Here is a 12,951-nt window from a genome sequence, read left to right as displayed (position 1 = left end):
GTGCCTTTCTTCTAAAGACGTTACAGTAAAAGCGTATTTGGCAGGGGGTGGGGAAAGTCAATTAAAGGAAAACTAGTTTCTTAGGTTGGACCATATTTTAACTCTTACTACTATTAATGTTTTCTCCAGAACTTAAAGATGAGACTATTGGCTTCTATATTAGATAAGGAACAGGAGTTTTCCTGTTGTCATAGAATTTCAACAAAAGCTCAAAGCTGATGACCAGGGAAAATAAGCTCCCACTCACGCTAAAGAAAGACATAGGCTGAGTGTGGTGACTCACACCAATTATCCCAGTGCTTTAGAGGCTGAGGCAGGAGGATTGCTTAAGACCAGAAGTTCAAGACCAGCCTGGCAACAGAGTAAGGTCCTGTCTCTACAAAAAAATTAAAAAATTAGTGGAGCATGGTGATGCATGCCTGTAGCCCTAGCCTACTCAGGGGGCTGCGGGAGGAGAATCACTTGGGCCCAGGACTTCAAGGCTACTAGTGAGCTATGATTGTGCTACTGCACCCCACCTGGGTGACAGAATGAGACAGTATCTCCAAAAAAAAATAGGCCAGGCACAGTGGCTCATGTCTGTAATCCCAGCACTTTGGGAGGCCGAAGCAGGGGGATCATTTGAGATCAGGAGTTCAAGACAAGCCCGGCCAGTATGGCAAAACCCCATCTCTACTAAAAATACAAAAATTAGCCAGGCATGGTGGCAGGTGCCTGTAATCCCAGCTATTTGGGAGGCAGGAGAATCGTTTGAACCTGGGAGGCGGAGGCTACAGTGAGCCAAGATATCACACTACTGCACTTCAGCCCGGGAGACAGAGTAACACTCTGTCTCAAATAAATAAATAGGTCAGGTGCAGTGGCTTATGCCTGTAATCCCAGCACTTTGGGAGGCCGAGGTGGGCGGATCACCTGAGGTCAGGAGTTCGAGACCAGCCTGACAAACATGGTGAAACCCCATCTCTACTAAAAGCACAAAAATTAGCTAGGTGTGGTGGTGTGTGCCTGTAATCCCAGCTACTCAGGAGGCTGAAGCAGGAGGACTGCTTGAACCTGGGAGGTGGAGGTTGCAGTGAGCCAAGATCACACCACTGCCCTCTAGCCTGGGCAATAGAGCAAAAATCCATCTATAAATAAATAAATAAATACACACTAGTCACATCCATGCAGGAATTAGGTTTAAAAAAAAAAAAAAGGCAAAACAGCCCTAAAACCAAAGTGAAACTGAAGAAAGTGATCAAGGTAGAAAGTTAGCTGGGTAGAGTGCCATGGTGTGCCCTTCAGATATCTCGTAACAAATACGAGGGGTTCCCAAGAGAAGCATCCAAAGAGATGAGGATTGAATATAAATTGAGATGGACATCGCTCTCCCCAGCTGGATGCTTGCCTAGGTAAGGAAATGCACAAGCAGCTGCCAGAGCAGAGTGTGGAAGAGTTCATGGGAGAACTTGATATAAGTCCCCAGGAGAAAGGGGTATGCATGACAAAGACAGAAACCAGTGCCTGCTTCTTGCTTGCAGAAGTCTGAGGACAGGAGGCTGACTGAGGCTGCCCATGCAGCAAGGGGTGGCGAAAGGAGATGTTATGTTTCCTGTGGCCTGCACGGACACCATAAAAGATGACCCAATAAGAAATGTCCCAGGCCAGGCACAGTGGCTCACACCTGTAATCCCAGCACTTTGGGTGGCCGAGACAGGTGGATCACTTGAGGTCAGGAGTTCAAGACCAGCCTGGCCAACATGGTGAAACCCCGTCTCTACTAAAAATACAAAAATTAGCTGAGTGTGGTGGTCCACGCTTGTTACCCAGTTACTTGGGAGGCTGAGGCAGGACGATCGCTTGAATCCAGGAGGCAAAGGTTGCCAGGAGCCAAGATATCGTGCCACTGCACTCCAGCCCAAGTGACAGAGCGAGACTCTGTCTCAAAAAAAAAAAAAAAAAGTCCTGAAAGGACCCCACCCAAGAAGGCTAAGGGCAAGAGCAAGGCGGTGTCGGCAGAATGCAGGGTTGTGAGTTGCTTCCCCAGAGTCATAAGAGGTTAGTCAAAGACTGGAGAAGTGTGGAGGTCCCCATGGGAGTCTTGAAGAACCCACCAATAAGACCCTCAACAAAGAGCTAGCACGTCAGCATCTACCATACAAAGGCCCCAGTAACTAACTGGTCACTTAAGGCTGCTGTTTCACTCTAATCTTTCATTCTTCTCATTCTGACCCTAGAGATGTCAGGCAAACAGAGAAAGAAGGAGGAAGAAAAGGGAAAGAACACATCACTCCTCCTTTTCCACTGCTGATCCCTGGATGAGGCCTGAGCTAGAGGAAAGGGAAAGCTTTAATTTCCATAGAAGTTTTTATTTAGACTGGACTGCATTTTTTAAATACCTAAATATGAAGCTATTCAAACCCCTGAAGGCAAAAGAAAGCTATGGAACATCAAAAGGCCAGGAATGGGGATCCAACAGAATTTGTGTAAAGGAACTGGTGAAAATTTTTCAAGATGTTTCATGATTGTGTCCTACTGCATTGCATCCATTTTAGAAAATGCTTACACTTTTAACTGTTTAATCTTTCATATCACACAAGCCTCACCTTTGAAAAAAGGCCTTCTGCCTCTATATTGTATCCTTTAAGGTCCTCGTGTAATTTCTGCAAACACTGTATGACTCTTCTTTGATGTTCATCATCCTTTAGCTCATGAGCTTTGATCAGAAAATCATAGTGGTCCAGAGGTCCATGGCAAACGGCCAAAGCTTTCAAATAAGTCTCTGAAGTGGCAGTTGGGGTCATGCTCTCGGATGTCTGAACCGTATAGGCTATAAACAAAAACATAAAATTTTAGACTTTCTTAAATACATTTTCACAGTGCTCTACACATTTCTTAAGGGTCAAATTCAAACTTTTAACTAGTTACAAGTATATCTATTGGAGCAGTTTTTGTAAATGTCATTTTGATAAAAATAATATAAAATACATTTTCAGCCAGGCATGGTGGCTCACGCCTGTAATTCCAGCACTTTGGGAGACCAAGGCAGGCAGATCACTTGAGGTCAGGAGTTCAAGATCATCCTGGCCAAATGGTGAAACCACATCTCTACTAAAAACACAAAAATTAGCTGGGCATGGTGGTGCATGCTTGTAATCCCAGCTACCTGGGGGGCTGAGGCACGAATTGCTTGAACCTGGGAGGCAGGGGATGAAGTGAGCAGAGATTGTGCCACTGTACTCCAGCCTGGGTGACAGAGTGACACTCGGTCTCAAAAAAAAAATAATTAAACAATGAATATATTTCTAATTGTTTTATTTTAACAAAAGGAAACAAACCCCAAACCCATAAACTATAATTGTAACCTCTCTTCCAGAAGGCCTATTCCTACTACAGCTTCTGCTTTGCTTCCAGTCCACTGAAGGAGACACTGGGGTTCCTCATCTCCTTCCCAAAGCAAGAGAGTTGCCTTTCTTTGAGTAAACCCTAATTCTGGTTCTTAAGCACCAAGACAAAGACGTGAAGACTAGTCCCAAGGGTTTTCCACTGTTCCTTAATTCTCTACTCAAAGACAACATAACATTCAGATATTACCACATCGATTTCAGCCCTCTGCTTCTGAGATCTTTTTCTGTTTTCCATAACCTTTACGGAGTTGGACATGGAATTGAGACACAGCAAGAGTGTCTGCTTCAAAGCAGGGTGGTGTTCTGATCCTATTTTTGGCCTCTCCTGGGAGAGAAATGATTGTGGCGAGGTCCAACCATAATTCCATTCCTTATGTGGGGCAGGTTTAATAAGCAGCTAACTCCTTCTCTACTGTTTAGAAGCAACAATAAACAGCAGCAACCTGGCACATTTTTCAGAACAAGATTTCCCAAAGGTACTCTGCCAGCATTTTATTCATTTCATTGAACATCATGTTTCCTTTGTCACAATAACATAAAAATTACTTTAGCAAAAAGAATTAACAATCACAATGTTAGGTCCATGTTTTCCCCAAAAGAGGGGGAAAAGTCCTTAAATATATCATGAATGTTGGAGATAGGGACGGCTGTCTTCCATTATTTGTTCCACCTTTCTAAATAGAAGTTTTAGCTGGATGCATGGCTGCCCAGACACATATTACATCTCCTGGCCTCTCTTGCAGTCAGGTATGGCCATGTGAGCAGGTTCTAACAATGGGATATGAGCAGAAACGTGTGTAGTTCTGACATACCCCATTAAAGGAAAAGGGCATATCCTCCTGGCTCCCTTTTCCTCCCTTCTCTCTAACTGGAGTGAAAGTGTAATGACTGCAGCTGGAAGAGGCAATGAGATGCACACAGAATGTTGAATGAAGCAGAGCAACAAGATACACAAAGCCTGGTTCTCCAACAATGCTGAGCTGCCAAACCAGCTTTGGATTGCCTACCTGGATTTTTATGTAAAAGAATAATAAACTTCCGGCCAGGCACAGTGGCTCACACCTGTAATCCTAGCACTTTGGGAGGCTGAGACAGGCAGATCACTTGAGCTCAGGAGTTCGAGACCAGCCTGGGCAACATAGTAGGACCTCATCTCTACTAAAAATAACAAATTTAAAAAAAATTTGTTTTTAATTAGCCAGGCTTAAAATTAGCATGTGCCTGTAGTCCCAGCTACTTGGGGAGGCTGAGGTAGGAGGACGGCTTAAGCCCAGGAGTTTGAGGCTGCAGTGAGCTATGACCTACACCACTGCACTCCAGCCCGGGCAACAGAGTGAGACTCTCTCTCCAAAAGAAATTAAAAGGGAGTAATAAACTTCTATCTTGCTTTTAAAGTAGTGTATAATTGGGGTCTCTGTTACAGAAGCCTAAGTTGTACCCTAACTGATATAGTTGCTTAAGGCCTGTAAAACAGAATCTAAGGGTATCCTGGAACACTAGGCCTCACAGTACCAGGATAAGGTTTGGGTTCAATGTTGAAGCTGGAGATGCAGGTTGAGAGTTCCTAAATGTTCCCGGCAATTTGAGATATTTGCCAGTGTGGCATAATAAGAAATATATTTGATCTTTGTCCCTGGTTCTTGGCACAGAGTTCCTAAAACCCTTGGAATTTCCTGAGTAATAGGAGTGTTTTCTGTTATTCATTGCATCACACCTGAGTTTATGTTAAGGAGGTGACTCTAGGGTGAGGCTGGTAGCCAGAAGGACCAAGTGGGTAGAAGGTTGGAACTTTCAGCCCCACGCACTGACCCCAGGAAGGTGGGGTTAGAGATTGAGCTCTGTAAACACTCAAGGAGACTTGGAGAACTTCTGGGTTGGTGAACACATCTAGGTGCGTTCAACCTCTAGGTATCCCCCTAGGCCATCTCTTCTACTGGGCTCCCTGAATTGTATGCTTTATCATAAATCAGTAAACATAAGCAAAATTTTCCCCTGAGTTCTGTGAGCTATTCTAGCAAATTATCAAATCTAAAGGGGAGGAAGGCTATGGGAATTCCCAAATTTGTAGTTGCCAGGTAGATATGTGGGTAGCCTGTATACCCCATTTGCAGCTGGCATGTGAAGTGGGGACATTCTATGGGACTGAGCCCTTTTACTTGTGGGATCTGATGCTCACTTCAAATAAAGAGTGCCAGAATCAAATTGAACTGTTGAATACCCAGTTAGTGTTACAGGATTTGAGAATCTCACAAGAGAAAAACGCTCTTCTCCACCCCCTCTTTTAGACTTCTGGAGTCAACCAAGTGAGAAACTTCAGGGTGATTACTGATATATTCCTCTTCCTCCCACAATCCTGTTCTCCTCAACCAGGTTCTCAGCCAATCAATCATCGATGCTACTCAATTTTGTATGCGAAATACTCTCTAATTCATTCCCTCCTCTCCTTCCTCATCCTACCACCCCAGCTTGAGCCCTTTAAAGGAAGCAGGGGTCTCTCTTAGGGCCTGCCATGCCCCCTGCAACGTGGAAATAAAGAAAAACCTGGAATTTCTTCAAGGGAAATTCCAGACACCTAGCTAGCCCTGAGAAGTAAATGAGCCACTTGATAAGCAAGAAGATAATAGAAGCTCAAAATCATGGCCAAAGAGGTTAGAGATGTTCCCTATAGAAACTAAAGATAACATCTTAATACATGTCACTGAGTTGTTTTTCAGAAACTCCAACCCCTACCAAATGGATCCACTGGCACACAGACCTCAGATAAGGGGGAACAGAGGACTGAATTCTGACCACTATTCTTTGTTCTAAATTTCTTCCTGAGGGGCCTGGAGGAGGTTATGCTCACCAGCCAGAGCTAACATTCTTTTCTGTTGACCCGAAATTTTTAGACAAAGCTTTGTTTCCTTAACCAATTGCAAATCAGAAAATCTTTTAATCCAGCTTTGACCGGCGGGCCACTCCCTTCAAGATGTCCCACTATTTTAGGTCAAATCAATGTATAGCCTCCATGTACTGATGTATGACTCTGATCACCACCACTGTGCCAAATTTACCACTACCATGATCTGTCAAATATCTTCTGCCAACTCCAGGGCTGATCTTACTAAAATCCAAATGTGATTTTATCAATCTTTGGCTTGAAATTCGTCTCATTGTTTAAAGGAGTGGTTTTCCAACTTTATTTTTTAATAGCTGTACCTTTTTTACATACAAAATCTTCCATAGAATCCTCAATTTATTAAAGAGAAAAGTGGAAAGGGGGGCACAAAGTCCCACCCTTTTCATATCCCCCTCATTCACATACCCACACCACCCCTATTTCCCAACAGCCTCACTTCAGAGGATTATATTTAGTACAAATAATGTGCAGAAAAGGGTTAACACAACAGGCCTGAGACTACCATCCACAGAGCATATTTACTTATGTCTCAAAATAAATAAATAAATAAATAATACCTAATTTTTTAAAGTTGAGGCTGGGTGGAGTGGCACACATCTGTAGTCCCAGCTACTTGGGAGGCTGAGGCAGGAGGATCCCTTGAAACCAAAAGTTGGAGGCTGCAGAGCACCATGATCATACCTGTGAATGGCCACTGCACTCCAGCCTTGGCAACATAGCAAGACCTCATCTCTAAAAAAAATAAAAATAAGATAAATAAAAATTGTTTTGGCCAAGCACAGTGGCTCACGCCTGTAATCCCAGCACTTTGGGAAGCTGAGGTGAAAAGATCTCTTGAGCCCAGGAGCTCGAGACCAGCCTGGGAAACATAGTGAAACCTCTGTCTTTACAGATGGAAAAAAAAAAATTTTTAATTAGCCAGGCATAATGGTATATGCCTCTAGTCCTATAGGGATTACTACTACTAGGAACTATTGCTACTCGGAGGGCTAAGGTGGGAGGATAACTTGAGCCTGGGAGGTTGAGGCTGCAGTGAGTGGAGATCATGCTACTGCACTCCTGTCTGGGTGACAGAACGAGACCCTGTCTAAACAAATTAATTAATTAATTAATTTTAAAGTGTTTAAAAGTTATTCATAGGAAATATCAGTATTGTGGGTAAAACGTACTGTTTATCTTGGCATCTGCCTTTGGAGAGGCTTAAAGTCCTTCTACTTTTATTTTCACTAGCCTAACATCTTGATTTAATAGTGTAGACTTCATTCCCAGTTTTTGGAAAAGAAAACCAAGGTACAGTGAAGATGAGGCATAAATTCAGCTAGTCAGCAGAGATAAAAAGAGAATCAGTCAGGCAAGATACTCAAGGCTGACAGATTGGCCAGCTTAGCCCTGGATAGCAGCTGTATAAATTGAAATACAAAAGACTTCTCAAAAGCTGCATTAAATTAAATCTGTTACTACATCAGTGTACACAAATTATGTGATGCTGCTGCCATATTATTTTGATTTGTATTAATTTGTCTTATTGTACTCCAAATGGACAGTGGGAAAATGCCATTCGGAAGTTCCACACACTAATTTACAAACATAAATGAAAGATTTTAGGAACCCAAAAAGTCTGCGCTATTCTTTCGAATACTTCAATTTTGTACCTTATTTCACTATATTCTCCTAAACTAAGTTTCAGGAAGATCCTACTATACTCCACAGCCCACTTTCTAAAAGATTTAATCAATATCTTGTGTCCTACATCTGAATAACCTATTAAAACTTCCTTGTTATGGTAAAAATTACTCCTATTTAGTTTTACTTTCCCCAGGGAAAAAATGAGTTTCCTCAGGCTTTGTGTATAGTCGTAATTACTTTTATTTTCTCCAACTTTTTTAAGTAAATGTAACCTCAAGATTTTATTATCTGCATAATAAAACAAAAGATGATACTTAGAAACTAGATCAACACTTGGCCTTTCTCTTACCTCTTCCCAGTTCAAAATGCTTGCATCTCTTATGGCCAGCATTCTCTTAGATCTGCAGTTGGGCTCAACGCATTCAAGCTCAGCACAGTCTTCTTTGTGTTTTAGCCTTTTTCTGGAAAATCAGCTTAGTCTGCCTATGATGATGATAGCCACTCTGCTTCCTATCATAACGCCACTTTCCTTGGGCACACAGAGAATCCTTGCCCTTCTTATCCTGATCTTGGCATGAAGTTGGTACTTGGCACATGCCACACATGTTACAGAAAGTCTAGAGGGTTTTAGAGACATTCACCATGTTTATGGGAATGCTATCTACAAGAAAACACATGATTTCCTTCAATTTTTCCATTTTCACTTTAAAATATAAGTTTGGAACAAATAAAATTCTCCTGAAGCTGTGGAGTCCCAAGTTTATGCTGATATGCTCCCCTTAACTAATCTTACTACATTAAACAAATAATATATAATAAACTGAAACTGTCTTTACAAAACTATGACAGTAAGAGAAATCTGACATAGTTGACTCCACCTTGCTTCTGACCTCCAAGCTCTGCCTGATCATTCCTGGGCACAGGCCAAGCTAACTTTAGGATGAATTTAGTTTACAGTTTAACTTTAAAATAATGACGACAATATTATTGCTCCCTCCCTTAGGCTAACCCCACCATTTCTCAAAAACCAAAAGCCACCTTTGTAAGACTAATGAAAGCCTACAAGAATAAAATTATGAGAGGAGCCTGAACTCTGCTAAAGTGTAGGCCAAGTTTCTACAATCCCTTACTGCTCAGGGGTCATGTGGCCAGAGGTCACAAGATTTGTGACTTCTCCAACTGCTTCTACAAATAATATCACTGTTATAGAACCTAAGATTGGTTTTGCTGAAATGTCTTTCAGACTGACCCCACCTGGACTCATGACTCATGACTCAACTGGTCCTGTTGTCCCACCCACAGTTGGACTCAGTGCATGAGGATCGATTTCCACACCCCTATTATTTCATCCCCAACCAATCAACAGTGCCATTCCCTAGCCCCCTGCCCGTGAAATTGTCCATAAAAACCCTCAGCTCGAAGCCTGCAGAGAGACTGATTTGAGGGATAACTCCAGTTCTCCTGTGTGGGACTGCCTTGCATCAGTTAAACTCTTTTCTCTACTGCAATGCCACAGTCTCAGGGGATTGATTTTGCCTGTGCAGTAAACAGGTAATTACAAATTCATAATCATGTTCTTCTTAATAGCACCATCCAAAAAGAAGAGGCAATCCAAATTGTCACTGATATCCTTACAAGAATTGTTATATAATAAATATAGGGCTTTTTTTTCTTAACAAGGTCTGAGTTGGCATCCAAGACAGACTTAAGGGGAGGTACGTGTCTTGGAGCCTCTTGAAATTAAAAGAAAATTGTATATTGTATATTTCAAAATTAATAATGGATTTTAAATGGTCTCATCACAAACATATGATAAGGAGTTGAGGTGATGGATGTTATTAACTTGATTTAATCTTTCTAGAACATATATATCTGTTAAAACATCAGAGCGGGCCGAGCGCGGTGGCTCATGCTTGTAATCCCAGGACTTTGGGAGGCCAAGGCGGGCAGATCACGAGGTCAGGAGATTGAGACCATCCCGGCTAACACGGTGAAACCCCGTCTCTACTAAAAATACAAAAAATTAGCCAGGCGTGGTGGCAGGTGCCTGTAGTCCCAGCTACTCGGAGGCTGAGGCAGGAGAAGGGCGTGAACCTGGGAGGCGGAGCTTGCAGTGAGCCGAGATCGCACCACTGCACTCCAGCCTGGGCAACAGAGTGAGACTCTATCTCAAAAAAAAAAAAAAAAAATCAGAGTGTACCCCATAAATATATACAATTATTTGTCAATTAATTTATGAGTTCTATAAAAGAAAGAAAATTATGTGTGAGTATGTTTAATCTGAGGCAAGTCCTTTAAATATACAACTTTCCGATTTTTTTTTTTTTTTTTTTTTTTTTTTTGAGACGGAGTCTCGCTCTGTCGCCCAGGCTGGAGTGCAGTGGCGGGATCTCGGCTCACTGCAAGCTCCGCCTCCCGGGTTCACGCCATTCTCCTGCCTCAGCCTCCCAAGTAGCTGGGACTACAGGCGCCCGCCACTACGCCCGGCTAATTTTTTGTATTTTTAGTAGAGACGGGGTTTCACCGTTTTAGCCAGGATGGTCTCGATCTCCTGACCTCGTGATCCGCCCGCCTCGGCCTCGCAAAGTGCTGGGATTACAGGCGTCAGCCACCGCGCCCGGCCAACTTTCCGATTTTTAAACAAGATAAGAACCAATGTTTTATAATTTTTTTTTAAGCAGGGTCTCTCATTCTGTGGCCTATGCTGGAGTGCAGTGGCATGATCATGGCTCACTGCAGCCTCAACCTTCCAGGCTCAAGCTATCCTTCCCCTCCATTCTCCTGAGTAGCTGGGACTACAGGTGCACACCACCATTCCTGGCTCACGTTTCATTTTTTGTAGAGAGGGGTTCTACCTGTGTTGCCCAGGCTGGTCTTAAACTCCTGGGCTCAAACGATCCTTCAGCCTTGGCCTCCCAAAGATCTGGAATTACAGGCATGAGCTACCACATCCAGCCCAAGAACCACTGTTTAAAAAAGAACTGTTGGGCTGGGCACAGTGGCTCATGCCTGTAATCTCAGCACTGTGGGAGGCTGATCACTTGAGACCAGGAGTTTGAGGTTACAGTGAGCTATGATTATAACACTGCACTCCAGCCTGGGCAACAAAGGAAGCCCCTATCTCTAAAAAAGCAACAAAAAAGGAAGGAAAGAAAAGAGAACAAGGAAGGAAGGAAGGCATACAGAATCTGAGGCCCTACCCCAGCCCTCTGAATCAAAATTTGCATTTTCAACAAAATACTTAGGTGTTTTACATGCACATTAAAGGTTGAGAAGCACTGTGCCAGGGAATGACCAGAGACTCCTACAGATTATCAGGAAAAAGCCTTTCTGTGAAAAACACATTAAGTTGACACCCGAATGCCAAAAGGAGTCACCCATGAGAAATATCAATAACATCCCAGCCTAAGGTTATAGATGAGGCAAAGTAGAAATGGAAATAAGCTTCACATTTTCAAGGGAAGAGAAAGGAAGTTTATATAGTTGATGCAAATGAGCAAGGTAGAGTATGTGCTACAAGAAGAGGTTGGAAAGGACAATAAGAGGCCCAGCACAGTGGCTCACACCTGTAATCCCAATACTTTGGGAGGCTAAGGCCAGCAGATCACTTGAGGCCAGGAGTTCGAGGCAGGCAGATCACTTGAGGCGGGCGGTGATCACTTAAAGCCAGCCTGGCCAACATGGTGAAACCTCGTCTCTACTAAAAATACAAAAAAATTAGCTGGGCATGCTAGTGCATGCCTGTAACCCCATCTACTCATGTGGCTGCAGCACAAGAATCACTTGAACCCAGGAGGCAAAGTTTGCATGAGCCAAGATCACCCCACTGCACTCTAGCCTGGGTGAGAGCAAGACACTGTCTCAAAAAAAAAAAGTACAAGCACTAAATGACGTAGGGCCTTAAAAGCCATGGTAAGTAAGGCAGATTTTGTAAGTAGGATTGAGAACAAGGAGGTTTTTCTGTTTTGTTTTGATTTCCTTTTTTTATTATTATTAAACTTAACCCCTCTAAGAAGCAGAAGGGGTTTGGAGTGGTGGCTCACGCCTGTAATCCTAGCAATTTTGGGAGGCCGAGGCGGGCGGATGGCCTGAGCTCAGGAGTCTGAGACCAGCCTAGGCAACACGGTGAAACCCCGTTTCTACTAAAACACAAAAGAAATTAGCCGGGCATGGCAGCATGTGCCTGTAGTCGCAGCTACCAGGGAGGCTGAGGTAGGAGAACTGCTTGAACCTGGGAGGTGGAGGTTGCAGTGAGCCTAGATCGCACCACAGCACTCCAGCCTGGGCGACAGAGCGAGACTCTATCTCTTAAAAAAAAAAAAAAAAGAAGAAGCAGAAGGTTTTGATCAGGGTACAAGATATTATTGAAGATAATAAGGCTTGATAATAAAAGATTGCTTTAGAAAATAAGACTAGGAATGCAAAGTGGAAGCAGAATGTGTGAATTATATAGTATGTGAATTATTTTCTTATCTTTTTTTTTCTTTTTTTGAGATAGAGTTCCGCCCTTGTTGCCCAGACTGCAGTACAATGGAGCGATCTCAGCTGACTGCAACCTCCACCTTCCGGGTTCAAGCAATTTTCCCACCTCAACCTCCTAAGTAGCTGGGATTACAGGCACCCGCCACCACGTCTGGCTAATTTTTTGTATTTTTAGTAGAGATGGGGTCATGTTGGCCATGGTCTGGCCATGTTGGCCAGGCTGGTCTCAAACTCCTGACCTCAGGTGATCCACTCGCCTTGGCCTCCCAAAGTGCTCAGATTACAGGCATGAGCCACTGCACCCAGCTGTGAATTATTTTCAATAAAACTACTATGTATTTTTTTATGTGGAAGTAGAAATTAGGAGACTATTCAAATAGTTGAGTTAAGAGATATCTATGGGCTGGACTCAGTGGATCATGCCTGTAATCATAGCAATTTGGGAGGCCGAAGCAGGCAGATCACTGGAGTCCAGGAGTTCAGGACCAGCCTAGGCAACATGGTGAAACCCCGTCTCTACAAAAAATACAAAACTTAGCCAGGTGTGGTGGTGCACAC

At 43.2% G+C, this 12,951-nt stretch overlaps 1 protein-coding gene and 1 pseudogene across 12 annotated transcripts in view; both read right to left on the bottom strand.

The window, feature by feature from the left end:
- The window catches only part of AFG1L (AFG1 like ATPase), a 230,948-nt gene that overhangs the window by 199,368 nt on the left and 18,629 nt on the right, over positions 1–12,951 (bottom strand). For 8 of the 12 annotated variants that reach the window (XR_007059229.1, NM_145315.5, NM_001323005.2 and 5 more), the window contains exon 2: positions 2,586–2,809. The exons of 1 other annotated variant lie outside the window; for it this stretch is intronic. Coding sequence is in view for 8 of the 11 variants with exons in the window: in NM_145315.5 (NP_660358.2) it covers positions 2,586–2,809 (224 nt within the window). In the remaining 3 variants the exon portion in view is untranslated. Of the gene's footprint in view, positions 1–2,585; positions 2,810–6,842; positions 7,018–8,260; positions 10,213–12,951 lie in introns of those variants that run through there. 3 more of the 12 variants (XM_005266885.4, XM_047418559.1, XM_047418558.1) reach the window with 3 other exon arrangements.
- On the bottom strand, positions 8,171–8,582 carry RPL36AP24 (ribosomal protein L36a pseudogene 24; annotated as a pseudogene).

This window comes from Homo sapiens, chromosome 6 (genome assembly GCF_000001405.40).
Source record: "Homo sapiens chromosome 6, GRCh38.p14 Primary Assembly".
NCBI lineage: Eukaryota > Metazoa > Chordata > Mammalia > Primates > Hominidae > Homo > Homo sapiens.
This window is presented reverse-complemented; position numbering and strand designations above follow the sequence as displayed.